This window comes from Homo sapiens, chromosome 16 (genome assembly GCF_000001405.40).
Source record: "Homo sapiens chromosome 16, GRCh38.p14 Primary Assembly".
NCBI classification, from domain to species: Eukaryota; Metazoa; Chordata; class Mammalia; order Primates; family Hominidae; genus Homo; species Homo sapiens.
In genome coordinates this window covers 14,318,188-14,345,225 of record NC_000016.10, presented here as the reverse complement: position 1 = coordinate 14,345,225, position 27,038 = coordinate 14,318,188, and the positions used below count along the sequence as shown (strand labels likewise).

The window sequence follows — 27,038 nt, the reverse complement described above, 5'->3', positions numbered from 1 at the left end:
GGAAACCATGCCCTTTGACCCAATAATCATGCTTTGGGCATCTTTCCATAGACACGAGGAGATAGGTCAAAGCGCTGCTGGTTGAGCGAAGGGCTGGAAACGGCCCACATATCCATCACTGGGAAAGGGGTCAGTGCCTTAAAATACATCGAGGGTCATTGCCAATGAGTAATATTAGCAAGCTGCTAGAAAGAACGAGATTGATCTTTCCACATTGTATTAGCCTGGGACGATGTGTATGGAATTTGCCCATTTTTGTAAAAATGCAAAAAGCCCATATATGCAGGTGGATGACTGTGCAGAGAGAAAGGTGCGAAAGGAAAAATGGGCACTGGTTACTTCCTCTGGGGAATGTGGGGGTGGGGAAGGGGTCTGGAGGTTACGAGGTTAGCGAGAAGGGAAAGAAAGAGACCTGGCTTTTTCTTTGTTCACCTCTTTGCTGTGTGGCTTGTTTCAAGGAACATACATTGCTTCTGTAGCTCAGAAGGAAAATCCAATAAAACATATTTTTAGAAATGTACTGAGCTAGGCTTTGTGCTAAGAGTGTGCTGGCTGTGCTTGGAGCTGCTCTCAGTGCTAATAGACACTCTGTGAGCACCATGGGGTGGACGCTTTCATCACCTTGATTTTTTGAATGGGAAACTGAGGCTCAGAGAGGTTGAGTGACTTGCCCAAGGAAGCACAGCTGGCAAGCATCGCAGCTGGTGTCTGGGGACAGGGAAGGGGAAGGTGGAGTCCTACATCACAGTATCCAGTTACAGGTTGGGGCGGGGAGCAGCACAGAGGGCTGGTGATGAAGGAACAGCCTCAGCTAGCGGGGGTTGAGTGGCAGCACCTCCTCTTGTGATGTGTGCTGAGTGAGTGTAGAGGCTCCCACCCACGGAGGGAAGGGAATGGCCAGCTGTTCATGTTTGATTGGGGCTTCACTTTCCCCAGCCTTCCCTTTCAACGTAGGGGGTGCGGTGGCTCACGCCTGTAATCCCAGCACTTTGGGAGGCTGAGGCGGGAGGATTGCTTGAGCCTAGGAGTTCAAGACCAGCCTGGGCAACACAGTGAGACTCCCATCTCTCTCAAAAAAAAAAAAAAAAAAAAAAAAAAATCAGCTGGGCGTGGTGGTGTGTGCCTGCTGTCCCAGCTACTCAGGAGGCTGAGGTGGGAGCATCGCTTGAGCACAGGAGCTCAGGGGTGCAGTGAGCTGTGATCGTGCCACTGCACTTCAGCCTGGGTGACAGAGGGACGGTGTCAAAAAAAAAAAAAAAAAAAAAAAAGAAGGCTTATGGGTCTGGCTTCCCTCTTCCCCCACCTTAATTCAGCCACAGGGTCCCAGTGCCTCTGGTCTGTCCAAGAGGGCCACACCACAGATGTGTGGCTTCTCGCAGGGCAGTGAGGGGGGCTCAGCTCCAGTGATGGCCGTCAGGTTCAATTTCTCTCCAGAGCCTCAGCAAATGACATTGGACGTTTCCAGCACTAAGGGGACTGAGATCATGCATGAGAACCATGCCAACAGGCTTACCTCCAGATGGGACAAAATCGGAACCTGGCTACCATTGAGCATGGCTGGAAACATGTAGCTATGGTTAGAAACCCTGTGGGCAAGTAAGGTTTTGTCACAACTACAGTCATTCATTCAACAGATGTTTTGTGAGCTCCTGCTACGCCTCAGACGTGTTGGAGACACTGCCCGTGGTGTGTGGAGGTGAATGAGAGTCGAATCTCTGGATCATGGGGCTTCTGTTCTGGGGTTGGGGGAGGGGGTAGGAAAAAAACACCATGGAAATAAAGAAATGAGGATGTTGGCTTTTGAGTTGAGCTAGAAATGACCAGCAGGAATCAATCCTGCAGGGACCTGGGAGAGATGCTGTTCCAGGCAGAAGGAATAGCATGTGCGAAGGACTAGGGGCAGGAAAGAGCTTGATGTGTTTGAGGAATCAATGGGGCGCCAGCGTGCGGGCTCTGTGAGCTGGAGGAAAATGGCGGGGTTGGGCTTGGAGATGCGGTCAGGGCAGGGATTTGCGTACCTGGGGCCAGGGTGAGAGCTTCAGTGTTCCCGTAGTCTTCCGAGGGACACCCATTGAGGGTTGTAAGCAGAGGAATGATGTGGTCTGGTTTTACCATAAAAGATCACTTTGGCTTCTGGACTGAGGTAGAATCAGGGCAGGGAGTTAAGATGTGGTTGGGGTGAGGAGGGAAATGGAAGCAGAGAAACTTGGTTGAACTCAGAATATTTCAGAGGTAGAGTCAATAGAATTGGATGTTGGGGTGTGAGAAAGAGAAGAATTTTGTGGATGACTCCTGGGTTTTTGGTCTAGAGCAGTTGAATGGAAGTAGAGTCATTGACTGGGAGAGGAGGGGGTGTTGGGGCTGAGTGTCAGAAATCATACATTTCAGGCCAGGTGCAGTGGCTCATCCCAGCACTTTGGGAAGCCAAGGTGGGCGGTTCACCTGAGGTCAGGAGTTTGAGACCAACCTGGCCAACATGGTGAAACCCCATCCCTACTAAAAAGACAAAAATTAGCCGGGCATGGTGGCAGGCGCCTGTAATCCCAGCTACTTGGAAGGCTGAGGTAGGAGAATCGCTTGAACCTGGGAGGCGAAGGTTGCAGTGAGCTGAAATTGAGCCATTGGCACTCCAGCCTGGGCTACAAGAGCGAAAATTAGCCAGGCGTGGTGGCGGGCGCCTATAATCCCAGCTATTTGGGACCTAAGGCAGGAGAATCACTTGAACACAGAGGCAGAGGTTGCAGTGAGCTGAGATTGCATCACCGCACTCCAGCCTGGGTGACAGAGTGAGACCCCATTTCAAAAAAAAAAAAAAAAAAAATAGTCTGGTAACAGAAGGGCTGAGATGGGAGAAAAGAGAGCCACTGAAGTAAAGGAAAGATGTCATGGAGGACTCCATGAATGTAGAACTTACTTATTCGCTGGGTATGGTGGTTCATGTCTGTAATCTCAGCACTTTGGGAGGCTGAGGGGGAGAATTGCTTGAGGCCAGGAGTTCCAGACTACCCTGGAAAACATGGTGAGACCCCATCTCTATTATTTTTTAAAGGAAAAAAAAAGCTTACTTTCACTTGCTCAAACCCAGAATACATGAGTCATTGCTAATGGTGGCAGGCATTGTTGGTGACTGAGATGTATCCCATCAACCTGTCCCTGGCCTGGCTTCCAACTTTGGCACTTGCATTTCTTTGCCCGAGGACATCTTCTGACTTCTGGAGCCCATTCAACCCTTTCGCATAGCAGGAGAGAATACTGACATTGATATAGTTTGGCTGTGTCCCCACCCAAATCTCATCTTGAATTCCCATCTGTTGTGGGAGGAACCCACTGGGAGGTAATTGAATCATGTGGGCTAGTCTTTCTCGTCCTGTTCTCATGATATTGAATAAGTCTCATGAGATCTAATGGTTTTATAAAGAGGAGTTCCCCTGATAAGCTCTCCCTTTGCCTGCTGCCATCCATGTAAGAGGTGACTTGCTCCTCCTTGCCTTCCACCATGATTGTGAGGCTTCCCCAGCCACATGGAACTGTAAGTCCATTAAATCTTTTTTTTTTTTTTTTTTTTTTTTTTGTAAATTACCCAGTCTCGGGTATGTCTTTATCAGCAGTGTGAAAATGGACTAATACAGGCATATTAACACTCCCTGGGAGCAGCTTTCAACCAATGACTGGCAAGGTCTGGAGTATAAATACCCCAGCTCTCTTGCCTCTCAGATGAGAACAGTGTATGTTCAACATTATCTCCCAAAGTTCCTGAGTGAGACTGAGCTGCAGTTGCCCACAGAGGTAACTCATTTCATAACACACCCCTGTGGGTGGGCTTCCTTTCTTGACTCTCTTCCCCACTTCCTACCCATGCTTCCTCAAGTCCCCTTTGTGTGTGTGTGTGTGTGTGTGTGTGTGTGTGTGTGTGTGTGTGTGTGACATGGAGTTTTGCTCTTTCCCAGGCTGGAGTGCAATGGTGCAATGTTGGCTCACTGTAATCTCCATCTCCCAGGTTCAATCAATTCTCCTGCCTCAGCCTCTCAAGTAGCTGGGATTACATACAGGTGCATGCCACCATGCCTGGCTAATTTTTTATATTTAGTAGAGATGGGATTTCACCATGTCGGTCAGGCCGGTCTCAAACTCCTGCCCTCAGGTGATCCACCCACCTCAGCATCCCCAAGTGCTGGGATTACAGACATGAGCCACTGCGCCCAGCCCTCAAGTCCCTTCTTATGTAAATGATTTCTATCACTCAAGTCCTTGTCTTATAGTCCACCTCTGGGAGAGGTCAAGCTAATTTCTAATATCTCTTTTCACCCTCCAATCCAATCTCTAAGTCCTATCAATTCTTCCAAAATGCATTTCAAATTAATGTGTTTCTCAACTCCACAGCCATTGCCCTGGCCCAAGCTACCACCATCTTTGACCTAGGTAACTGCACCAACAGCTTGATTAATATCCCTCCTTTCATTGTTGCCTCTCTTTGATCTGTTGTCCATACAGCAAAGGTATCTGTTAAAATCTAAGTAAAATAAGCCAGGCATGGTGGCTCACACCTGTAATCCCAGCCCTTTGGGAGACCAAGGCAGGAGGATCACTTGAGGCCAGGAGTTTAAGACCAGCCTGGGCAACATAGTAAGACCCTGTCTCTAAAAAAAGTTAGCCGGGCATGGTGACATACATTTGTTGTTCCAGCTACTCGGAAGGCTGAGGTGGCAGGATCCTTTGAGCTCAGGTGTTTGAGGCTGCAGTGAGCTATGATTGTACTACTGCACTCCATCCAATTAATTGAATCCACTCAATCAAAAATTAATTTAAAAAGTAAAAAGTAAATACAAATAAAAATAAAGAAAATAAATGAAAAAGAAAACCATGTTACTCTTCTGGTCAAAACTTCCCATTACTTTCCCAACATACTAGGAGAAAATTCCCAACTCTTTCATGTAGCCTCCAAGGCTGGCATGATCTGGCCTGGCCCATCCTTCCTTCCATCTTTGTCTTAACTCACTTTCCTCCCGACTCGCTCTGCTGCAGCCAGACCTAGAAATCTCAGGCTCTGTTCTTCCTTGGGGACATGGCCTGTGCAGTTCCTTTTACCCAGATATTTTTCCTGCAACTCTTTGTATGTTTCATTCTTGTAGACCCAGCTTAGACATTGTCTTCTTAGAGCAATCTTTCCTGATCACATGATCTAAAGTTATTCTACTCATAAATTTCTCTCCTCAGTACCTATTGGTTTCTTTCTCAATACTCTGTGTATTTTGTAATTGTTTGGTTGTTGATTTACTTTTGTCTGTCTTATTCCTGAAATGTCAAGCTTCATGAGATCACAGACCATGTCTGTTGCTCACTGCCACATGCCTCACACCTTGTATGGTGACTGTCACATGGTAGGTGTGCAGCAATTGATTGTTGTATAAATAAAACATTGACGTTAGTGTCTAGGGAACCCACCCCGGGACATACCTCTCTTCACATGGATGACTTGGCAGGGTATTTGTTGGTAATCAGGGACACTATCCTCTTCATCTCTGTGACCACAGTCTCTGCCTCTGAGAGGCCCAGATCCTAGGATGGGAGACCTGGGTTAAAATCCTGGCTTGGCCTCTTATAATGTGTTTGGTCATCTTTGCTGCATAACAAACAATCCCCAAAATGTAGTGACTTAAAAGAATAACTTACTTTTCTACAGAAGTTAGCTGGGCATGGTGGTGGGTGCCTGTAATCCCAGCTACTCGGGAGGCTGAGGCAGGAGAATCGCTTGAACCCAGGAGGCAGAGGTTGCAGTGAGCCAAGATCGTGCCACCGCACTCCAGCCTGGTGACAGAGTGAGACTCTGTCTCAAAAAAAAAAAAAGAATATATTTTTCAGGCTGGCTGCTTCCTCTGACTTCACTCATGGCCTGCAGTCAGCTGGGGGTTACTGGGCTAGAGGGTCCAAGATGGCCTCCCTCACATGTGTGGCCGTTGGCTCTGGCTGTTGGCTGGGTTGCCTCAGTTCTCCTTCATGTGACCTCTCGCCTTCCAACAGGAAAGACCAGCTTCCTTACATGGAAGCCTTGGGTAAGCATTCCACGTCAGTTCACAAAGAAGCTTCGAGGCTCCCTGAAGCCTGTTCTCAGGACTTGCATAACACTACCTCTGGCATATTCTATCAGTTGAAGTAAGTCAAGAGGACAGCCTGTATTTAGGGGAATGGAGAAATAGACTTCACCTCCTTGTGAGAGGAGCCACAGGGAATTTCTGGCCATATTTAATCTACCACAGTAGGCTGTGAAGTCTGGGGCCAGCCACTTACCCTCTCGGTGCCTTACTTTCTTCCTCTGTAAACTGGGTCTTTTGGCATCTATCTCATAGAATTGTTTGTGAAAATTAAACAGATGATGTTTCCAAAGTGCTTAGTGTAGAAACCTGTTTCTTAGAAAGTACCTAGTTGATAGGAACCACTGCTATTATTGCTATTATTAATATTACTGTCATAATTATATTGAGAACTTAGCAAATTGATGGATGGATAGATGGGTGGATAGACAGGTAGATGGATGGATAGGCTGGGTGGATGGATGGATGAGTAGGGAGGTGGGTGGATGGATGGGTGGGTTTAGGGGTAGATAGATGGATGAATGGATAGGTGGGTGGATGGGTGGATGGATGGATGGGCTTGGGGGTTGATGGATGGGTGAATGGATAGGTGGGTGGATGTGTGGATGGATGGATGGATAGGTGGGTGGATGGATGGATGGATGGATAGGTGGGTAGGTGGATGGATGGGTAGGTAGATGGGTGGATGGATGGGTAGGTGGATGGGTGGATGGATGGGTAGGTGGGTGGATGGATGAATGGATAGGTGGGTGGATGGAAGGGTAGATGGATGGATGGATAGGTGGGTGGATGGATGAATGGGTAGGTGGGTGGATGGGGTAGATGGATGGACAGATAGGTGAGTGGATGGATGGATAGGTGAGTGGATGGATGGATGGGTAGGTGGATTGATGAATGGGTAGGTGGATGAATAGGTAGGTGGATGGGTAGATAAATGGATGGATGGATAGGCAGACAAATGGATGCATGGATTGACAAATGGCTTTTGATGTTCAAACAACATGTAGCCCCACTGACTTATCTGTTAATGATAAGTCATCTTATTTCATGGGGTTTAGAATAAACAGTAGCTCTCTGCTGTTGAGTTCAAACACCCTTGATTTCTAAAGAGACCTGACCTCTCACTTAGTTTACTTTTTCATCACCTGTGTTTGTGTGGGAAGAGGGGTGGCGGGGGCGGCGGTGGGGGTGAGTGTCAGGCAGTTCTACTGCAGGCTTTGTGTTTGGGAAATATGCGAGCTTGTGCGAGCACCCCTCTCACTCACACATGCGCTCTCCTCCACAGCCTTAGTTAAACGTCACCAGACTCTAACTGTGAAAAACAGCCAAGCTTGCCACTGCAGAGTTCAGCAGCAAAAGGAGTTTGCCGATACACATCCCTACGGGCTGGGGCCAAGTGCGGCCAGTGTGGGCAGCTGTGAGGGGCAGCCCTGCTGGCTCCTGCACGGTAGAGGCCACCTCCTCCCAGGTCCTGAGGCACAGAGCCCAGGCCTGGCATGCAGCACACACACTATGAGCATGTGCACTTTTTGCTACTCTTGTCGTCTCTGTATCCCCAGCATAGGGAACCGTGCCTGGGAGACACTAGTAAATATTTTCAGAATAAACGATGGCATGGCTGAGCACGCGGGGAGCTGTGTCTTCCCCAGCTCTCGGGCTTGAAGACTTTGTGCCCGAAAGCTGGGTGGGACTAAGGGGCTGACGGCAGGATTCTCAAACATCCCCAGAGGCAAATGTGTGCCTTCATATCCTAAAACCCAACCAGGCAGGGCGCAGTGGCTCATGCCTGTAATCCCAACACTTTGGGAGGTAAAGGCGGGAGGATCGCTTGAGGTCAGAAGTTTGAGACCAGCCTGGGCAGCAGAGCGAGATCTTGTCTTTACAAAAATAAAAATAAAAAAATTAGCCAGGCGTAGTGGCACATGCCTGTGGTCTGAGCTACTCGGGAAGCTGAGGCAGGAGGATCGCTTGAGCCCAGGGGGTTGAGGCTGCAGTGAGCTATGACTGTGCCATTCCATTCCAGCCTAGGTGACAAAATAAGACTCTGTCTCAAAAAATAATAATAGGCCAGGTGCAGTGGCTCATGCCTGTAATCCCAGCACTTTGGGAGGCCGAGGCGGGCAGATCACGAGGTCAGGAGATCAAGACCATCCTGGCTAACACGGTGAAATCCCGTCTCTACCAAAAATTAGCTGGGCGTTGTGGTGGGCACCTGTAGTCCCAGCTACTCGGGAGGCTGAGGTGGGAGAATGGCATGAACCCGGGAGGTGGAGCTTGCAGTCAGCTGAGATTGCGCCACTGCATTCTAGCCTGGGTGACAGAGTGAGACTCCGTCTCAAAAAAAAATTAATAGTAATAATAATAATAATAATAATAATAATAATAATAATAATAAAACCCAACCTGTCCCAGCAAGGCAGTGTGATCAGATTCACATTTTGAAACAGTTCCTCTGGGTGTGGTGGGGAGCTAGGTTGGAGGAGAGGGGCAAGAGTGGCTATAGGAGAACCAGGAGAGATGCACTTCTAGAAGGCCAGGGAGGAATGAGGGCGGCCTGGTTATGGGTGGGGACATGAATGGGACGGGGAGAGAAGCTGCTGCGAGGGCTGCCAAGGAAATTGATGGGCAGGACTTAGTGAGGCTGGGATGTGGGAGAGAGGGAAACTGGAGGGGTCAGAGATGGTACCTGGTGTCTTTTTTTTTTTTTTTTTTTTTTTCAGAAGGAGTCTCACTCTGTCACCCAGGCTGGAGTGCAATGGCATGGTTTCGGCTCACTGCAACACCTGCCTCCCATGTTTAAGTCATTCTCCCACCTCAGCCTCTCAAGTAGCTGGGACTACAGGCGCGTGCCACCACACCCAGCTAATTTTTGTATTTTTAGTAGAGACAGGGTTATATTATGGGAGGCCCACCTCGGCCTCCCAAAGTGCTGGGATTACAGGAGTGAGCCACCGTGCCCGGCTGGTACCTGGTTTCTAGTTAGCATCTCTAGAGTGGCAGATGAGGGACCTCAGAGGGAAATCAGTTTCGGGGGAGGCTCTTGAATTCAGTTTTGGACAAGTTGAATTTGAGGAGCCACAGACACTAAAGAATTAGCCCAGGTTTGAACTCCTGAGAACACAGTGACCATGTTACCTGGGCAAGCCTCCCTTACCCTTCTGAGCCTCAGTTTCCCCAGGTGCAAAATGGAGTGCCTCACCAGGTAATTGTGAAGACCCTATGCAGGAATATAAGCAAACTGCCTGCCTTAGAGCCAAGGCACCATGCAGAGAAGCTATGTAACCCCATTACTTAGCACTCTTCAGCAAGAAGCAACAGACACAAAGGTAAACTGGCTTAAGCAGTAAAAGAATTTACTATTCCTGTAACTGTCAAATCCAGGAAGTAGATCTGGCTTCCTCTACAGGTGCATCTAAGGCTCAAGCATTGTCATAGGGACTGCATATCTTTGGGGGCTTCTTATATTTCTCAGGCACCTTCCATATGTGTTCCCAATGGGCACCAGCTTAGCAACGGTAGGGTTGGGGAGTCTTTTCCTATCTGGCAAAAAAAGTCTCAGGGAAGATTCTGATTGGCCCAGCTTTGTCATGTGCTCATCACAGAGCCAATCACAGTAGCCAGGCCCGGGTCACATGACTTTCTGCTCCTAGAAGACGGCAGCAGGCAAGTGGAACCAACAGTGCAGCAGCTGTCAGGTTCCCAGCTGGTCCAGTGGGAGTTTTAGGATGGGAACAGATGAGAATATGGTTTGTGGTGTACAGTAGAAACTCAGTTCATGGTGATGGTTTTCATTATGATTCTGGAGGTAGATCACCAAATGGCCCTCCATTTGGGTGTTTTAAAGTCCTTTACAAATATGACCTTCACCCCTAAAATCCTAAGTTCAGAGGTATCATCAGCCTCCTCCAGATAGTCTGTCAACATGCTTGGGAGATGGATGTGAGAGGTCAGTCCTGGGGGGCTTGCGGCACCCTTTCTGCAGCAGTGTTGGGGGTCACATTGTCTGTGGTGAGCCATGAATGTGCTCTGAGCATCCCTGTCACTGACCCTAACCAGGAGACCCAGGGACTCCCCACGCCTCCTAGGGAAAGTCCAAGGCGTCTGGTGTCGCCCAACAGCCAAATCAAGAAAACAGGTTCTGCAGAGTTAGGCAAAGACCTTTGCGGTTCATAATGTCAGCGAGAAAATTCCAAAACCTCTGAGCGAGCTGTAGTGTGGACGCTCCTTTCAACAACCTGGTTCTGATTGGAGCTGCCTGGTAACTCCCTGCCAATTAGCAGCCATGCTGCGGAAACCTGGAACTTTATAGCTTAGCAACGAGAAATCTGGAAGAACTCTGGAATTAATTTAAGGAAAGGGGAAGGAAAACATCAAGAAGAGAATTAGCAGCCAAATAATCTGGCTGTGCGTTTGTATTATTACCTTTGCTGCCAAGATAAGTATTGAAACTTTTCAGCGTTAATTACCGGCAAAGAGGGAACCAGTGAGATATCTTGTCTCAAACTCTGGGGCTGATGTTTTTGTTTTGTTGTCCTAAGCTACTATTGAAGTAGGGATGTGAGCAGAGCTAAGAAAATGTGGTCAGAACAGGTACAGTAATTAAAAACCACACCAATCCTGCCTTCCACGTCCTCCTCCAGGAGCTTCTCCCTTTGCCAGTCTTTTTCTGGGATCATTTTCCATCCTGTGACATCATGGATAGCAGCCTGGGAAGTGGAGACCCTGGTGGCTATGGAGGGTTTCTGTGATTTCAGATGGAGGCCCAGTTGGAGGTGATAGCAGTCTTTGGTGGGGCCATTCAATGACTTTTTTTTTTTTTCCTTTTTTTTTAGACAGAGTCTCGCTCTGTCACCCAAGCTGGAGTGTAGTGGCATGATCTCGGCTCACTGCAACCTCTGTCTCCCGGGTTCAAGCAATTCTTGTGCCTCAGCCTCCCGAGTAGCTGGGACTACAGGCATGGACTACCACACTCAGCTAATTTTTTGTATTTTTAGTGGAGATGGGGTTTCACCATGTTGGCCAGGCTGGTCTTGAACTCATGACCTCAAGTGATCCAACTGCCTTGGCCTCCCAAAGTGCTGGGATCACCGTGCCCAGCCATTTTATTATTATTTTTTTTGAGATGGAGTCTCGCTGTGTCTCCCAGGCTGGAGTGCAGTGATGTGATCTTGGCTCACTGCAACCTCCACCTCCCAGGCCCAAGCAATTCTCCTGCCTCAGCCTCCCGAGTAGCTGGGACTATACAGGCGCATGTAACCACACCCAGCTAATTGTTGTAACTTTTAGTAGAGATGGTGTTTTGCCATGTTGGTCAGGATGGTCTCGAACTCATGACCTTAGGCATTCTGCCCACCTCAGCCTCCCAAAGTGCTGGGATTACAGGTGTGAGCCACATGTCTGGCCCATTCAGTGACTTTTGAGTGTCATTCATGTGTCTCCACTGAGTCAGGCTGTAAAACAGTGCACATCACACACCCACCCCCGCCCCTGTGGGCTGACAGTCTAGCCAGGGGTGGGGGAGGCTAGATATTAATAATCAGCTAATTATACAAATAGCTGTGTAATTACAATTGCACTGATGTCATGGAAGAAAAGGGTAGGATGCTAAGATAAAGGTTACGTGGGTGAAGGGGGGTGAAGTGAGAAGTCTTTGGTTATCCTGTCCTTGCTTGGAATTTTGTAGGGGTGAGGTGGGGTGGGTTGCAGAGAGAGGCAGCACCAGGTGGACAGAGGCAAGCCCACCAAGGGTCTCCTGGGCCAGCAGAGTTTATGGTTGGTCCTAAGGCAATGGGGGGAAAATGAGAAACCATTTAGGTTTGCATACTGGGACATGGGGCAATTAGGTTTAGGATTTAGAGCACTTTAGCTGTTTGGGGGCAGAATAGGATGCCAGGCCGTGGGCCCCCGCGGAGTCCACTGAGGTGACACATAGGTGGAATCTCCAGGGTATCATAGACATAAAACCCTAGTCTTTCAACGGGGTCTTGATGGTTCTTGCCAGCCAGCTCCATCCCAAAGCCTCATTTCCTGGAAATAACCATTTAGACACCTTACTGTCTATGGGATGGAATGCCCAGCTCATCCCAGTTGGCCCAGAGCTTTCCTGGTTTTAGCACCTAATGTCTCCAGTCCCAAAAACCTCCTAGTCCTAGGCACGCTGGGATGGCTGGCCACCCTGCTTTAGGACAGGATTACATGGGGGCAGTAAGAGTTGGCTTCCCTCACTGAATAGGGCTTCCCTGCACCATCTCCCCAAGCAGTGTGAACACAGGCTCAGCTACCCATTTGCTATGTGGCCCCAGTCAAGTTACTTGGCTTCTCTGGGCCACTGTTTCTTCATTTGGAAAATGATCTGGAGAGCTTTTCAGTCTTCTGGCAGCACTGATTTCCTGGCCCTGCTGTGGCATTTCAAAGCTTCATCAATGCACAGAGGGCTGAGCACAGAAGACAGGGCCACAGAAGGCCACACCAGTAGTGTGGCCTTTGGCAAGGTATCTCACCTCTCTGTGCCTAAGCTTCTCCCTCCACAGGATGGGAATAATGTGACTTAGCTCATAGAAATGTGAGCACTAGGCCAGGCACAGTGGCTCACGCCTGTAACCCAGCAGTTTGGGAGGTGAAGGCGGGTGGATCACTTGAGGCCAGGAGTTCAAGACCAGCCTGGCCGACATGGTAAAACCCCATCTCTACTAAAAATACAAAAGTTAGCTGGGCATGGTGGTGCGTGTCTTTAATCCCAGCTACTCAGGAGGCTGAGGCAGGAGAATCACTTGAACCCGGGAGGCAAACGTTGCAGTGAGTCGAGATCATGCCACTGCACTCAAGCCTGGGCAACAGAGCGAGACTCCATCTCAATAAATTAAATACATTAAATAAATAAGAAATGTGAGCGCTAAATTAAATGAAATGATCCTGTGTGATTGCCATAACTAGATACTCATAGTTGAAAAGTATAGATGTTCTGGTTAATGAAAAGTATGACTGGGAGTTGTGACTGCTAATTTTTTTAAAAAGTGGAACATGAGGCCAGGTGCAGTGGCCTATGGAGATTGCCTCTCACCCCTGAGTAGAGTTCCATGAGTTGGAGACTAGATCCTTTTTTGTCACTGTCCATTCATAGTAAAGATGTGTTGAGCAACTAACTCAACAAAGGTCACATTATACCAGCTTTATATATTTTATTATTATTTTGAGACAGGGTCTCGTTCTGTCCTCCAGGCTGGAGTGCTGTGGTGCAATCACAGCTCACTGCAGCCTCGACCTCCAGGGTTCAGGTGATCCTCCCACCTTAGTCTCCCGAGTAACTTGGGACTACAGGCGTGTCCCCCCATGCCCTGCTAGTTTTTGTGTTTTTAGTAGAGACGAGGTTTTGCCATGTTGCCCAGGCTGGTTTTGAACTCCTGAGCTTAAGCAGTCTGCCCACCTCAGCCTCCTAAAGTGCTGGGGTTACAGGCATGAGCCACCGTGCCCGGCCTATTTTTTAAAATTTTTGTAGAGATGAGGTCTCACTATGTTGCCCAGGCTGTTCTAAAACTCCTGGGCTCAAGTGATCTTTCTGCCTCAGGCTCCCAAAGTGCTGACATTACAGGCATGAGCCATGCCCAGTCGTGCCCCCTGCCTTTTTTAAACATTAAATAAAACTGTATGCCCATTTTATAGATGAAAAAAAAATGAGGCTCAGGGAGGTTTCCGATCCTGCCATTAAGTGGTGAAGTCAGAATTTGAACCTGGATCTGATTGAGAGTCCTGTTCTCTCCACTGACTGGCCCCTACTTCTTCAGGGGGCACACAGGGAGGGCCAGAGGGATGGGGAATGGGTGCAGGGAGGCAGTTCTGGTGGGAATTCTCCCAAGGGAGCAGCAAGACAGGGCCTGGCATGACACTGGTGGCCTGGCCTCACCCCTGTGGGGACCAGAACTTTGTGGATGCAGCTTTCCCTCCCCACTGGTTGCCATGGAGACGGGGGTGGGATGCGTGAAGATCTATCTCAAGCCTGCTACCCAGGCTTGTCCCAGAGATGCCAGCAGTGGGTGGACACACTAAGCATTGAGAGAAAGGAAGGAAAAGGCTGGTCTTTACCTCTTTTTTCTTTTTATTGTGAAAAGCTTCAAGCACACATAGGAACGGAGCGTGTGGTACAATAAGCCTGGCTTCAGCAGTCAAGTCTCAGCCAACCTTATTCCATCCACGCCCTCTTCCCCTTCCCTCATCCCAGATTACTCTGAAGCAAATTTCAGACGTCAGTCATTTCTTTTACAAACATTTCAATGTATAACTCCAAAAAATTTTTTTTGGCCACCTTCACTCCTCCTAAAACTATTTAATAACAGTAATGCTTTTACTATCAGCAAATACCCAGTTAGTATTCAGATTTCTCTGGTTATCTCATAAAGCGTTTCTTTTTTTTTTTTTTGAGACGGAGTCTTGCTCTGTTGCCCAGGCTAGAGTGCGGTGGCATGATATCAGCTCGCTGCAACCTCTGACTCCTGGGTTTCAGAGATTCTCCTGCCTCAGCCTCCTGAATAGCTGAGATTACAGGTGCACGCCACTGCACCTGGCTAATTTTTGTATTTTTAGTAGAGACGGGGTTTCACCATCTTGGCCAGGCTGGTCTTGAACTCCTGACCTTGTGATCCACCCGGCTTGGCCTCCCAAAGTGCTGGGATTACAGGTGTGAGCCACCGCGCCCAGCTAAAGGGTTTCTTTAGCTAGTTAAAATCAGGATCCAAATAAAGTTCGAATGTTGCCATCGGTTGGGATTGCTTTTGTATCTCTCCTAACCTGTAGGTTCTCTTCCCTTGTCTTTTTCTTCCTTTGCAATTTATTTGTTGAAGAAACTGGCTTGTTTGTTCTGTAGTTTCCTGTGGTCTGAATTTTGGTTATAGCATCTCCATAGAAGTGTCATGTGCTCCTCTTCCCGCTATATTTCTTAGAAATTGGTAGTTAGGCCTAGGAGATAACTTAGATTGATGTTTGATTTTTTTTTTTTTGTATGAGTACTTCCTATTGGTGGTTTTGTACTTCCATTCAAAGGCACACACTATCTGGTTGTTCCTCTTTGCAATGTTAGCAGCTGTTGTTGATGATCATTGTCTAGATCCACAATTTCTTCTTCTTTTTTTTTTTTTTTTTTGAGGGGTCTTGCTCTGTCACATAGGTTAGAGTGCAGTGGTGCAATCATAGCTGACTGCAGCCTTGACCTCCTGGGCTCAAGGGATCCTCCCACCTGAGCCTTCCAAACAGCTGGGACTACAGGCACATGCCCAAACCTGGCTAATTTTTTTTTTTTCTTTTTTTTTTGTAGAGACAGGATCTTGTTGCATAGACAGGTCTGTGTTGCCCAGGGTGGTCTTGAACTTCTGGCCTCAAACAATCTTCCCATCTCGGCCTCCGAAAGTGTTGGGATTACAGGGATGAGCCACTACACCTGGCCCATTATTTCATTAGATATTACAACATGGTGGCATACTAATTCTATGATTCTGTCTTTGGTAGTGGACATATGTCTATAAAAGGTATCAATTTATCAACTATTTGGCTACCAAAAAGTATGGTTTGTACCAAAAAGGATAAATGCTTCTTTCCCTTTCTTTGACAGTTTTCAAAATGAGTTGGGTTTTCCAATATCCTCCCATGGTGATAAATGAATTTTTCTTTTTTTTTTTTTTTTTAAGTATTGTCAACTCATAGATTTGGACATATATGACATGTTTCAATCCATTAAAGTCATTCTTTTTTTTTTTTTTTTTTGAGATGGGCGTCTTGCTCTGTCACCTAGGCTGGAGTGTAGTGGCACAATCTTGGCTCACTGCAACTTCCGCCTCCTGGGTTCAAGCGATTCTTCTGCCTCAGCCTCCCAAGTAGCTGGGATTACATGTGTATGCCACCACACCCGGCTAATTTTTTATATTTTTGGTAGAGATGGGGTTTCACCATGTTGGCCAGGCTGGTCTCTAACTCCTGACCTCAAGTGATCTGCCCACCTTGGCCTCCCAAAGTGCTGGGATTACAGGTGTGAGCCACCGCACCTGGCCTATAGTCATTATTATTATTATTATTATTATTATTATTATTATTTATTTTTCTGAGACAGAGTCTCGATCTGTTGCCCAGGCTGGAATGCAGTGGCCTGATCTCGGCTTACTGCAAGCTCCGCCTCCTGGGTTCACGCCATTCTCCTGCCTCGGCCTCCCGAGTAGCTGGGACTACAGGTACCCCACCACCACACCCGGCTAATTTTTTGTATTTTTAGTAGAGACGGGGTTTCACTGTGTTAGCCAGGATGGTCTCCATCTCCTGACCTTGTGATCCACCCACCTCGGCCTCCCAAAGTGCTGGGATTACAGGCGTGAGCCACCGCGCTCGGCCCATTATTGTTAATGATGCTCAAACTCTCCCCATTGGGAGCCACTCCATGTTGTCTCCTGCATCCTTTTCAATGTGACCCTCACCTTCCTTGCTATCAAGGAAGCAAGGAATGACCAGATGTTCCAGGCTCATCTTGAATTTTTTTTCTTGCCTCAGACCTGGAATTGGTTATTTCTTCATGCCCTCATTTCTAGTCGGAAGTGGCGTTTAGACACCATAACCTGGGTGCTGGGGTGTTCACTGCTATTGGATGGCTCATTATTTCTAAACTTTATGGTTGACAGAGCTAGCAAACACCTGCTTTACTTTGTAAGACAAAAATATAGCATGAATTCATACTGATGCTTCCAATTCCAATTCGGGGCTACGGGTTTTTCACCTTGTCTCTGTGATCTTACGTGGGCATCTCCTTTCTTCCATGATCATGTGACAAAGCCTGTTTGGAAAAGCAAAGCTCCCTACTGTGATTCTCATCAAGCTGGAAGCGTGTGAGAAAGCACTTCAGTTTCTTCCCTCGGATATGAACCTGAGCTCTCTGATGAGGTGGTTTAGAAGTGGCCCTGGGAGAAGCCCACTTCTTGGTCACAAGATACTGCATTCTCCTGGCAGATGAACCAGCTGCTTCCAGCATCCTCTGTGTGGGTCCTCACGCCTAGCTGCTCTACGTGCTGGCTGCACAGTGGCATCACATGGGGAAGTAGAAAAACCTCTGATGCCTGTCCCCACCCGGCTTAATCACAGTGAAGTCAGATTATCTGGGCCTGGGACCCTACCATCATTTTTTTTAAAGAATTGCAGGGGCCAGGCGTGGCGGCTCAGAGCTTCTAGCACTTTGGGAAAAAGCTCACAGCTTCCAGCACTTTGGGAAGCCGAGGTGGTAGGATCAGGAGGTCAGGAGATTGAGACCATCCTGGCTAACATGGTGAAACCCCGTCTCTACTAAAAATACAAAAAATTAGCTGGGCGTGGTGGCAGGCGCCTGTAGTCCCAGCTACTCGGGAGGCTGAAGCAGGAGAATGACATGAACCCGGGATGTAGAGCTTGCAGTGAGCTGAGATCGCGCCACTGCACTCCAGCCTGGGAGACAGCGAGACTCCATCTCAAAAAAAAAGAATTGTAGGTAGGCCGGGTGCGGTGGCTCATGCTTGTAATCCCAACACTTTGGGAGGTCAAGGAGGGTGGATCACCTGACGTCAGGAGTTCGAGACCAGCCTGGCCAACATGGCGAAACCCCATCTCTACTAAAGATACAAAAATTAGCTGGGCGTTGTGGTGTGTGCCTATAATCCCGGCTACTTGGAAGGCTGAGGCAGGAGAATTGCTTGAACCTGGGAGGTGGAGGTTGCAGTGAGCCAATATCACACCACTGCACTCCAGCCTGGGTTACAGAGTGAGACTCCGTCTCAAAAAAAAAAAGAATTGCAGGTAATTCTAATGTGTAGCCAGGGGATACAGTCACTGCTCTGTTCCTTGCTTCTCAGCAGAGGGAAGAAAAAGAAGCAACAAGGCTGGCAGATGAACTCTGCCTTCAAAGCCCATTAGCTTCGGCTTGAATTCTGGCACTGCCAGGTTCTAGCTATGAAATCTGAACCTGGCTGGGCGTGGTGGCTCACACCTGTAATCCCAACACTTTGAGAGGCTGAGGCAGGTGGATCCCCTGAGGTCAGGAGTTCGAGACCAGCCTGGCCAGTGAAACCCCATCTCTATTAAAAATACAAAAATTAGCTGGGCGTGGTGGCATGCACCTGTAGTCCCAGCTACTCAGGAGGCTGGGGCAGGAGAATCACTTGAACCCAGGAGGCGGAGGTTGCAGTGAGCCGAGATTGCACCACTGCACTCCAACCTGGACAATAGAGCGAGACTCCATCTCAAAAAAAAAAAAAAAAAGGAAATCTAAGTCAGTGCTGACCAATAGCACTTGTGCAACCTTCAAATGGTCTATATCTGCACTGTCCAATGTGGTAGCCATCAGCCACAGTACACGGGGCTGCTGGGCACTTGAACTCATTGTTAGTGCAACCTAGGGTGTAAATGTTAAAATTTATTTAATTTTAACTAATTTACACATCAATAGCCACAAGGAGCCATCACAGCTACTGTCTTGGACAGCACCACTCTAGAAAATGACCTAACGTCTCGTGGCTTCACATCTGTAAAATAGGGAATAATAGGGGTTATTTCACTGGATATTGACAGGATTAGTGTCAGGATTAGAAACAATGTATATAAAGTTCCTGGTTCCCACAAAACACTCAATAAAATGCTGCTTATTTATTAACATCAGCCTAATACTCAAAAAAAATTGCCTGGAAAACAAATGTTCAGAAGCACCCTACCACAGAGGCTAAAAATTCAGAGCCGTTCCAGAGAAACTCAGAAAATATTCCTTAATTGTAGAAGTTCAATGGCAGCAGGAGGTTATCAGTTACAAGGGCTGTATTTCATTACAGATCCAGCCGCAGCTCAATAAATTAAGCAATCACTCAGAATAACATGTTGCTTTAATCCCCTCTCTTGGAGCGGTTCCAAGTTGTTTGGTTTTATACACGCTCAGCCCTGAAAGGGGACTCATACTGGGCTCATTTCTTTCCCCTCAATTCATCAGCCCCTCTCTGGAAACATCTTTGCATCTCCCAACCAGCAGGAGAGAGGATTCCAAGCCAAGCAGGCCTCCTTTTATCAAAACTGGAGCCTTTTCCATCCTCTGGCCTTGACGTGTTCCACGTTTCATTTGCTGAAATTACTGGCAGGTTTATCTGCAATGAAAAAAAAGACACCTTTTAGCAGCCCAGTTCTGGGCATGTAGAGAGAGCTAACTCTCGGCGGCTTTTCCATTCTCATCTTCTCTCGAGTGGTTTATAATCTCACAGTAGAATTTTGTTTCCCCTAGAAACTTGGCACGGGAGGTGTCAGCCTGGGAACATATTTGTTTGTGTAAATTAAAAGAAGAGTATGTTTTGACCATATTTAAGTTCTAACTGCACTAAAGAAATAAATACCGACTTGCACAACGCTTCTCGCTGCCGCACGGTTCTGGCTCACCTCCCCAAACTCTGTCTTTGTTAATAAAACCCACACTAACAAGAGCTCTTAATAGCTTATCTCCTCAGACAGCTACAGGGACAACCTCAGAAGCCATGTCTGCCCCGACCCAGGCCCACATAGAAAATCCACTTACCTCATTTGGGATTTGCTTCTCCTGACACACCGCATTCTTGCTGGGGTAGAAAAGGGTATCAGAAACAGCACCCTCACCAATGTAGGCTTGTTTTTTTTGGTGGGGGAGGGACAGGGTCTTACTTTGTCACCCAGGCTGGGGTATAGCGGTACAATCACAGCTCACTGTAGCCTCGACCTCCCGGGCTCAAGCGATCCTCCTGCATCAGCCCCCCAAGTAGATGGGACTACAGGCATGCGCCACTATGCCTGGCTAATATTTGTATTTTTTATAGAGACAGGGTTTTGCCATGTTGCTCAGGCTGGTCTTGAACTCCTGAGCTCAAGCCATCCTCCAGCCTCAGCCTCTCAAAGTGCTGGGATTACAGGCGTGAGCCACCAAGCCCAGCCTCTACAGGTATACCCTTGATGTGCATGTGAATGATAACCTTTTGAAGGCCCTGGGCAATAGCTGTAGAAATTTACAATGCACACCTCTTGGCTGGGAGCAGGGGCTCACATCTGTAATCCTAGCACTTTGGGAGGCTGAAGGATGGCTTGAGCTCGGGAGGTCAAGACCACCCTGAGCAACATGGTAAGACCCTGTCTCTACTAAAAAATACAAAAAACATTAGCTGGGTGTGGTAGTGCAGGCCTGTAGTCCCAGCTATTTAGGACGCTGAGGCAGGAGGATCACTTGAGCCCAGGAGGTGGAGGTTGCCGTGGGTCGAGATTGTGCCATTGCATTCCAGCCTGGGCAACAGTGCGAGACTGTCTCAAAAAAAAAAAAAAAAAAAAAAAAAAAATCTCCTCTGACTGAGAAATTCCACTTCTAGGAATTTATCCTACAAGTATTCTTGGCCACATGCCAAAGATTATAGATGTTATAAAGGCAAAATCCTCGAGTTAACTGCAAAGTTGGCCAGTAGAAGACAGGTTAAGTATGATGCGATGCTAGAAGTCATTAGAAAGAATGAGGTGGGTCTAAGAACTGTCGGGATATATTGTATACCCCCAACTTTCTTACCACTATGAGCCAAAAAAAGTGCATGCTTTCAAAATTTATAAAGATTGTGCAAACTGCCCACGGTGGTTATGTCTTATAAAGAAGTGAGGTTGGAGTTAAAGAAAAATTGCAGGGCAGGCGTGGTGGCTCAAGCCTATAGTCCCAGCACTTTGAGAGGATGAGGTGGGAGGATTACTTGAGGCTAGGAGTTCGAGACTAGCCTGGGCAACGTAGTGAGACCCTGTCTCTATGAATAATAATAAAAATAATTAAATAAAAATGGTGGCATGAGCCGGTAGTCCCAGCTACTCTGGAGGCTGAGGCGGGAGGATTGCTTGAGTCCAGGAGTTCATGGCTGCAGTGAGCTATGATCACACCACTGCATTCCAGCCTGGGTGACAGACTGAGACTCTGTCTCTAAACACAATAAATTAAAAAAGGCAAATCGCCCCTTTATTTCCACCTTATTCTCTTTTGTATTTTTTCTTACTATAGGCATAGTTTCATTTTTAAAATTTGGGATAATTAAAGAACATACAATGGTGTTTAAAAAATCATTTCCACACTCTGAGCTGTAGTAATAATAATAATACCGCAATGATACTCTCTTTATTGCATGCCTGCTAGGACAACAGAGTTGGGAGGAGGTGAGAATCTCTGCTTTTCTGATTTATTTATGCAGATAACCTGCAGTAGGCTAAATGGCAGCCCCCAGAGAGATAGTAAGTATGTCTGCTTTCAAACTGAATCACTGGAAAAAGACTGATTAAGGATCTTGAGAGGAGGCATTTGTTCTGGATTATCCAGATGGGAACTAAATGCAATCCATGTATCCTTAAAAGAGAGAAGCAGAGACCAGGACAGAGAGAAGAGGAAGGTAAGAAGACGGAGGCAGAGACCGGAGTGATGCGGCCACAAGCCAAGGAACGCCAGAGCTACTAGAAGGTGGAAGAGACAAGACACACATCTTCCCTAGTGTGCCTGGAGGGAGGGCAGCCCTGCTAGATTTACAACTTCTGGCCACCAGAACTTTGAAATGAATCTGCTGTGTTAAGCCCTGTAGTCTGTGATAATTTGTTATAGCAGTCCCAGGAAGAAAAGATATAACCAGACTTCCCTTATACCTATTAGAAGCATGAAATGCACAGGTACATGAGAAAACAACTTTGGTAGACCTGTGTATGTTGGCAAACACAAATAATCCATTCATTCCAGATACTTACTGAGCATCTATTAGGTGACAGACACAGTTCTAGGTGCTGAGGATATAGTCAGCAGAGAACACAACAAAGATGCGTGCCCGCCTGGAGCTGACATTTCAATGAAGGAGAAATCAACAAAATAAATAAAACACGGAGGAGGGTGGATGGTGGTAGAAGGTGCTACAGAGAGTGAGAAAACAAAAAAGAGGGACCCGGGGGTCAGGGAAGGGGTACTGGAGTAGACTGGAGTAGAGGCTTGAAGGTGGTGAGGGCATGAGGTTTGTGTCTACCTGAGGGCAGACAGGTAGAAAAAGGAAAATAGGGACTGGGCACAGTGGCTTACGCCTGTAATCCCAGCACTTTGGGAGGCCAAGGTGGGTGGATCACTTGAGGTCAGGAGTTCGAGACCATCCTGATCACCATGGTGAAACCCATCTCTAGTAAAAAAAAAAAAAAAAAAGTATATATATATATATAATATATAAAAAACACATATATAATATAATATCTAAAATATATATATATACACACACACAGACACACAAAATTAGGTGGGCATAGTGGTGCACGCCTGTAATCCCAGCTACTGGGGAGGCTGAGGCAGGAGAATTGCATGAACCCAGGAGGCGGAGGTTGCAGTGAGCTGAGAACGCGCCATTGCACTCCAGCCTGGACAACAAGAGCGAAACTCCATTAAAAAAAAAAAAAGGGAAAAAGGAAAACAGGTAGACAGGTATAGGGAACGAATACAGAACTTGAGCCTATGAGTGACACATTGGTTGGACTAGAGAGAAAATAGGAAGGAACTCCCTTTTTTCCCCCTTCTTCCTCCCCCACCTCCCTCCCATACTTGCTACCTGCCTGCTGTGTACCAGGGCCTGGGGTACGGAGATGAATGGGGCCTCTTCCTCAAGCTCGATGCCTTCCCTAGTATGGGGACAGTCATAAACAAATCATTACAAATATAACGTGGTAGGCGTCACAGTAGAGGCCAGGGCAGGCTGCACGCACAGGCCAGCGTAGGAAGGTGCGTGTAGGTTGGGGTTAAGGTTGGGGAGGTGGTAGTAAATTGATTAGGGCAGGACTTGAAATCCCAGCACATGCGTTGAGCTGCAATTCAGCAGGAAATTAACAGGAGGGGTGGTGGTGAACATGGAGATGGGTCTGGGATTCTTTTATTTTTAAGTACAGCTGGCACATCGGAACAAGAATATAAGTTCTGAGAATGACGTATCCCTTTCAGTTCTACACAATCCATGAAAAGGAAAACAGTTCCCAAGTCCTGAATTGGGACACTGTGGGTTGCAAACAACAGGCACTGAAGTTGATCTGAATGAGGTAGAACGAGGGATTTATTCACTGGGTAGCTACGATGAGGAAAGGGAAGAGGCTGTATTGCTCTCTAGGATCCAGGGACTGGAAGCTCTGGGTTCTCTTCCTGTCCTAACCCCCTCACCTCATGTTTCATTTCTCCTCCTCTCTGCTTATTGGCCTTATTGTCTGAGGCCACTGGTAGTGCCAAGTCTACCTCTTTAAGGCCTGGATGCCAGAGAGGAGGAGGGAGAGAAAGAAACATCCTCCCCACAAGCTCTGCAGACAATCCTGAATTCGCCCTGCTTGAGTCACATGACTACACCTGGAACAATTGCTGTGCCCCCGCTCAGAAGTGGGCTGCTATGATTGGTCATGATGGGTCACATGCCTACACATGGACCAATTACTGTAGCCGAGGAACAAGTACCGTGGGCGGCCATTTTTGGCCATCTTCCCATGGTACGGCAGGTCTGTTATCAGAAGTGGGGGAGAGAGTGCTGGCAGGAACAGAGAGAGCCACCTGCCTCCCTCAGGGCCTTCTGACTGTGTTACTGCTCCATTCATTCTGCTGGGAATTGTCTCAATCTTGAGCCAGACTCTGCTTTAAGATCCCACTCTGGGCCAGGCGCAGTGGCTCACGCCTGTAATCCCAGCACTTTGGGAGGCCAAGGCAGGCGGATCACGAGGTCAGGAGATCGAGACCATCCTGGCTAACACAGTGAAACCCCATCTCTACTAAAAAATAGAAAAAATTAGCCAGGCGGGGTGGCGGGCACCTGTAGTCCCAGCTACTCGGGAGGCTGAGGCAGGAGAATGGCGTGAACCCGGGAGGCGGAGCTTGCAGTGAGCCAAGATCGCGCCACTGCACTCCAGCCTGGGCGACAGAGCGAGACTCTGTCTTAAAAAAAAAAAAAAAAAAATTCCCACTCTGGTTTTCTACAAACGCCAGAGCTGCCGGATGGGATTTACTCAGACCTGTTGCTGTAGTTCTTTTTTGTCATTATGCGATTTTGATCAGATTTAAAATGGTTTTTTAGTCATTGGTTTATGGTTGCCTCTGCCCATAAGCGTCGGAACCTCACCTGTCTTGATTACGATACAGCTCATGCTCAGTCCCCAGCGCCTATGAACAGTAGGTACACAGGTAGTGAAATGAATGAACATCCTCCAGAGAACAGGAGGAGCTGCACAGTTCTCATCTGTTCTCAATGAGTCCCTTTCTGTCACCCTCTCCTCTCCTTTGCCAGTCACCCTATAACCCTTCATGACAAGGCTCTGTTAGCGTAAGTACACCTTGGGTCCTGTTAGTATAAGTCCCTGGGTGTCAACCCAACACACACTGGAGGTTCCGAATCTCTGGGTGTTTTGAGTAAAGATGATCCTTTGGCAAAGCTAATGGAGTTCTGTCTGAGCTCAGAGGGACTGGGCGCCATGAGTGAGTGGTTGGCAATGTCTCCCGTGGCCACCTGCCATGTTGGGCATTCCTGGTCTTGCTCTGTGTCCTTTGCTAACCAGGGAACCTCTGTTTTTAAGACTGCAGCCCTGTCATCTGCTGGGATATCACAGTACACTCAGAATCCAGGACAAAATGGTGGGGCCAAATAAAACAACTGTGGGCGCTTAGGGAAGAAGGGAAGAAGGCTTAAGACAAATGTTTGTGTTTTTTTTTGTGTTTTTTTTTTTGAGACGGAGTCTCGCTGTCTCCCAGGCTGGAGTGTAGTGGCGTGATTTCGGTTCACTGCAAGCTCTGCCTCCTGGGTTCTCGCCATCCTCCTGCCTCAGCCTCCCGAGTAGCTGGGACGACAGGTGCCCGCCACCACGCCCGGCTAATTTTTTGTATTTTTAGTAGAGACGGGGTTTCACTATGTTAGCCAGGATGGTCTCGATCTCCTGACCTCGTGATCTACCCGCCTCGGCCTCCCAAAGTGCTGGGATTACAGGCATGAGCCACCGCGCCCGGCCAAATGGTTATTTTTTTTTTTCAAGTGCTCATGACCCACGTCAGCTGGGGTCATCTTATTTTTGGAAATTCAAACGAAATGGGCTTGAATCTTGTCTCACATGCCAGGGAAGACCCAACTATCCTCGGATTCTTTCCAGGGATTGGAGGTGAGGGGCGCACTTCTGTCTCACCCAGACACCTGAGGCTCTATAAATTCCTGCGTCCCCTTAATCAGTTCTGCTTGGGCACCTTTTTGCTGGCCTCAGGAGAAGGCTAGCCGTCATAGCCATCGGAGGCATGGAACGTGTGCAGTGACACAAGCCCATGCTGTTGCTGTCTTCAACTTTATAATAATTTTTGAACAAAGGGCTTCCCGTTTTCATTTTGCCCTGGGTCCTGCAAATTAGGTAGCCAGGCCTGCCCCTCTCAGGGGCTGTTCCCTTCCTTCCCCACATTGATTCTGCCCCAGTTCATCCATTCTCCCCAAATCCCATCCCACACAAGGATGTGGGTGCAGGAGACTTGGAAGCTTTGGGACAAAAGAAAATGTTGAGCTCTCAGACAAAGAAACAACATCAAGTGCGATGCTGCCTCTAAAATACTCAGTGGGAAAGAACACAGGCAAAAGCCGAGCGGTGTCGAACCTGGATGATGAATACTGGATGCTTGTTACATACCACATACTACTTTCAGGTATGGTGGGAAATTTCCATAATACATAGTGGTGGGGTTTTATTTATTTATTTACAGACAGGGTTTGGCTCTGTTGCCCAGGCTGGAGTACAGTGATGTGATCATAGCTGACTGTAGTCCCATCCTCTTGGGCTCAAGTGATCCTCTGGCCTTGGCCTCCCAAAGTGTTGGGATTACAGGTGTGAGCCATCACTCACAATTTAAACTCTATAATACAAAGTTTAAAAAGGCGGGCACAGTGGCTCACGCCTGTAATGCCAGCACTTTGGGAGGCCGAGGCAGGCGGATCACAAGGTCAGGAGATCGAGAACATCCTGGCTAACATGGTGAAACCCCGTTACTACTAAAAATACCAAAAATTAGCCGGGCGTGGTGGTGGGCGCCTGTAGTCCCAGCTACTCGGGAGGCTGAGGCAGGAGAATGGCGTGAACCTGGGAGGTGGAGCTTGCAGTGAGCTGAGATGGCGCCACTGCACTCCAGCCTGGGCGACAGTGCGAGAGTCCATCTCAAAAAAAAAAAAAAAAAAAAAAAGGCAATAAAGGCCAGGCACAGTGGCTCATGCCTCTAATCCCAACACTTTGGGAGGCTAAAGTGGAAGGATCACTTGAGCCTAGGAATTCAAGACCAGCTGGCAACATGGCAAGACCTCATTGTTACAAAAGATAAAAAATTAGCCAGGCATAGTGGCATGTGCCTGTGGTCCCAGCTACTCGGGAGGCTGAAGCAGGCAGATGGCCTGAGCTCAGGAGTTCAAGGCTGTGGTGAGCTGTGATTGCACCACTGCACTCCAGCCTGAGTGACAGAGCCAGACCCCGTTTCAAGAAAATAAAAACAAAAATTAAAAATAAAAAGGCAATATATTAAGACTTGCCCCTGGCAGTTCCTCAAAATGATAAACATAGGGTTGCCTTATGGCCCAGCAATTCTACTCTGACCTATATGCCTAAGAGAAATGAAAGCATCTGTTTACACAAAGACTAACACATGAATGTTCATTGCTGCATTATTCATAGCAGCCAAAAAGTGTAAACAACCCGTATGTCCATCACTGACAGTGGTTAAACAAAATGGTGGCCCATCCATAATACAGAATATGATTCAGCTGTAAGAAGGAATGAAGTTCTGATCCATGCTACAGTGTGGCTGAACCTTGAGAACGTCCTGCTAAGTAAAAGGATCCAGTCACAAAGGACCGCATTAATTGTGTGATTCCATTTATAGGAAATGTGCAGAATAAACAAATCCACAGGGGCAGAAAGTAGATTTGT

General features: G+C 47.7%; 1 long non-coding RNA gene across 3 annotated transcripts in view; it reads right to left on the bottom strand.

The window, feature by feature from the left end:
* Positions 1-14,163: 14,163 nt before the first annotated feature.
* Positions 14,164-27,038, bottom strand: part of MIR193BHG (MIR193b-365a host gene) — a 29,682-nt gene continuing 16,807 nt past the window's right edge. For all 3 annotated transcript variants that reach the window (NR_170633.1, NR_132983.2, NR_132984.2), the window contains exon 2: positions 14,164-19,213. This is a non-coding gene — a long non-coding RNA (MIR193b-365a host gene). The remainder of the gene's footprint in view (positions 19,214-27,038) is intronic.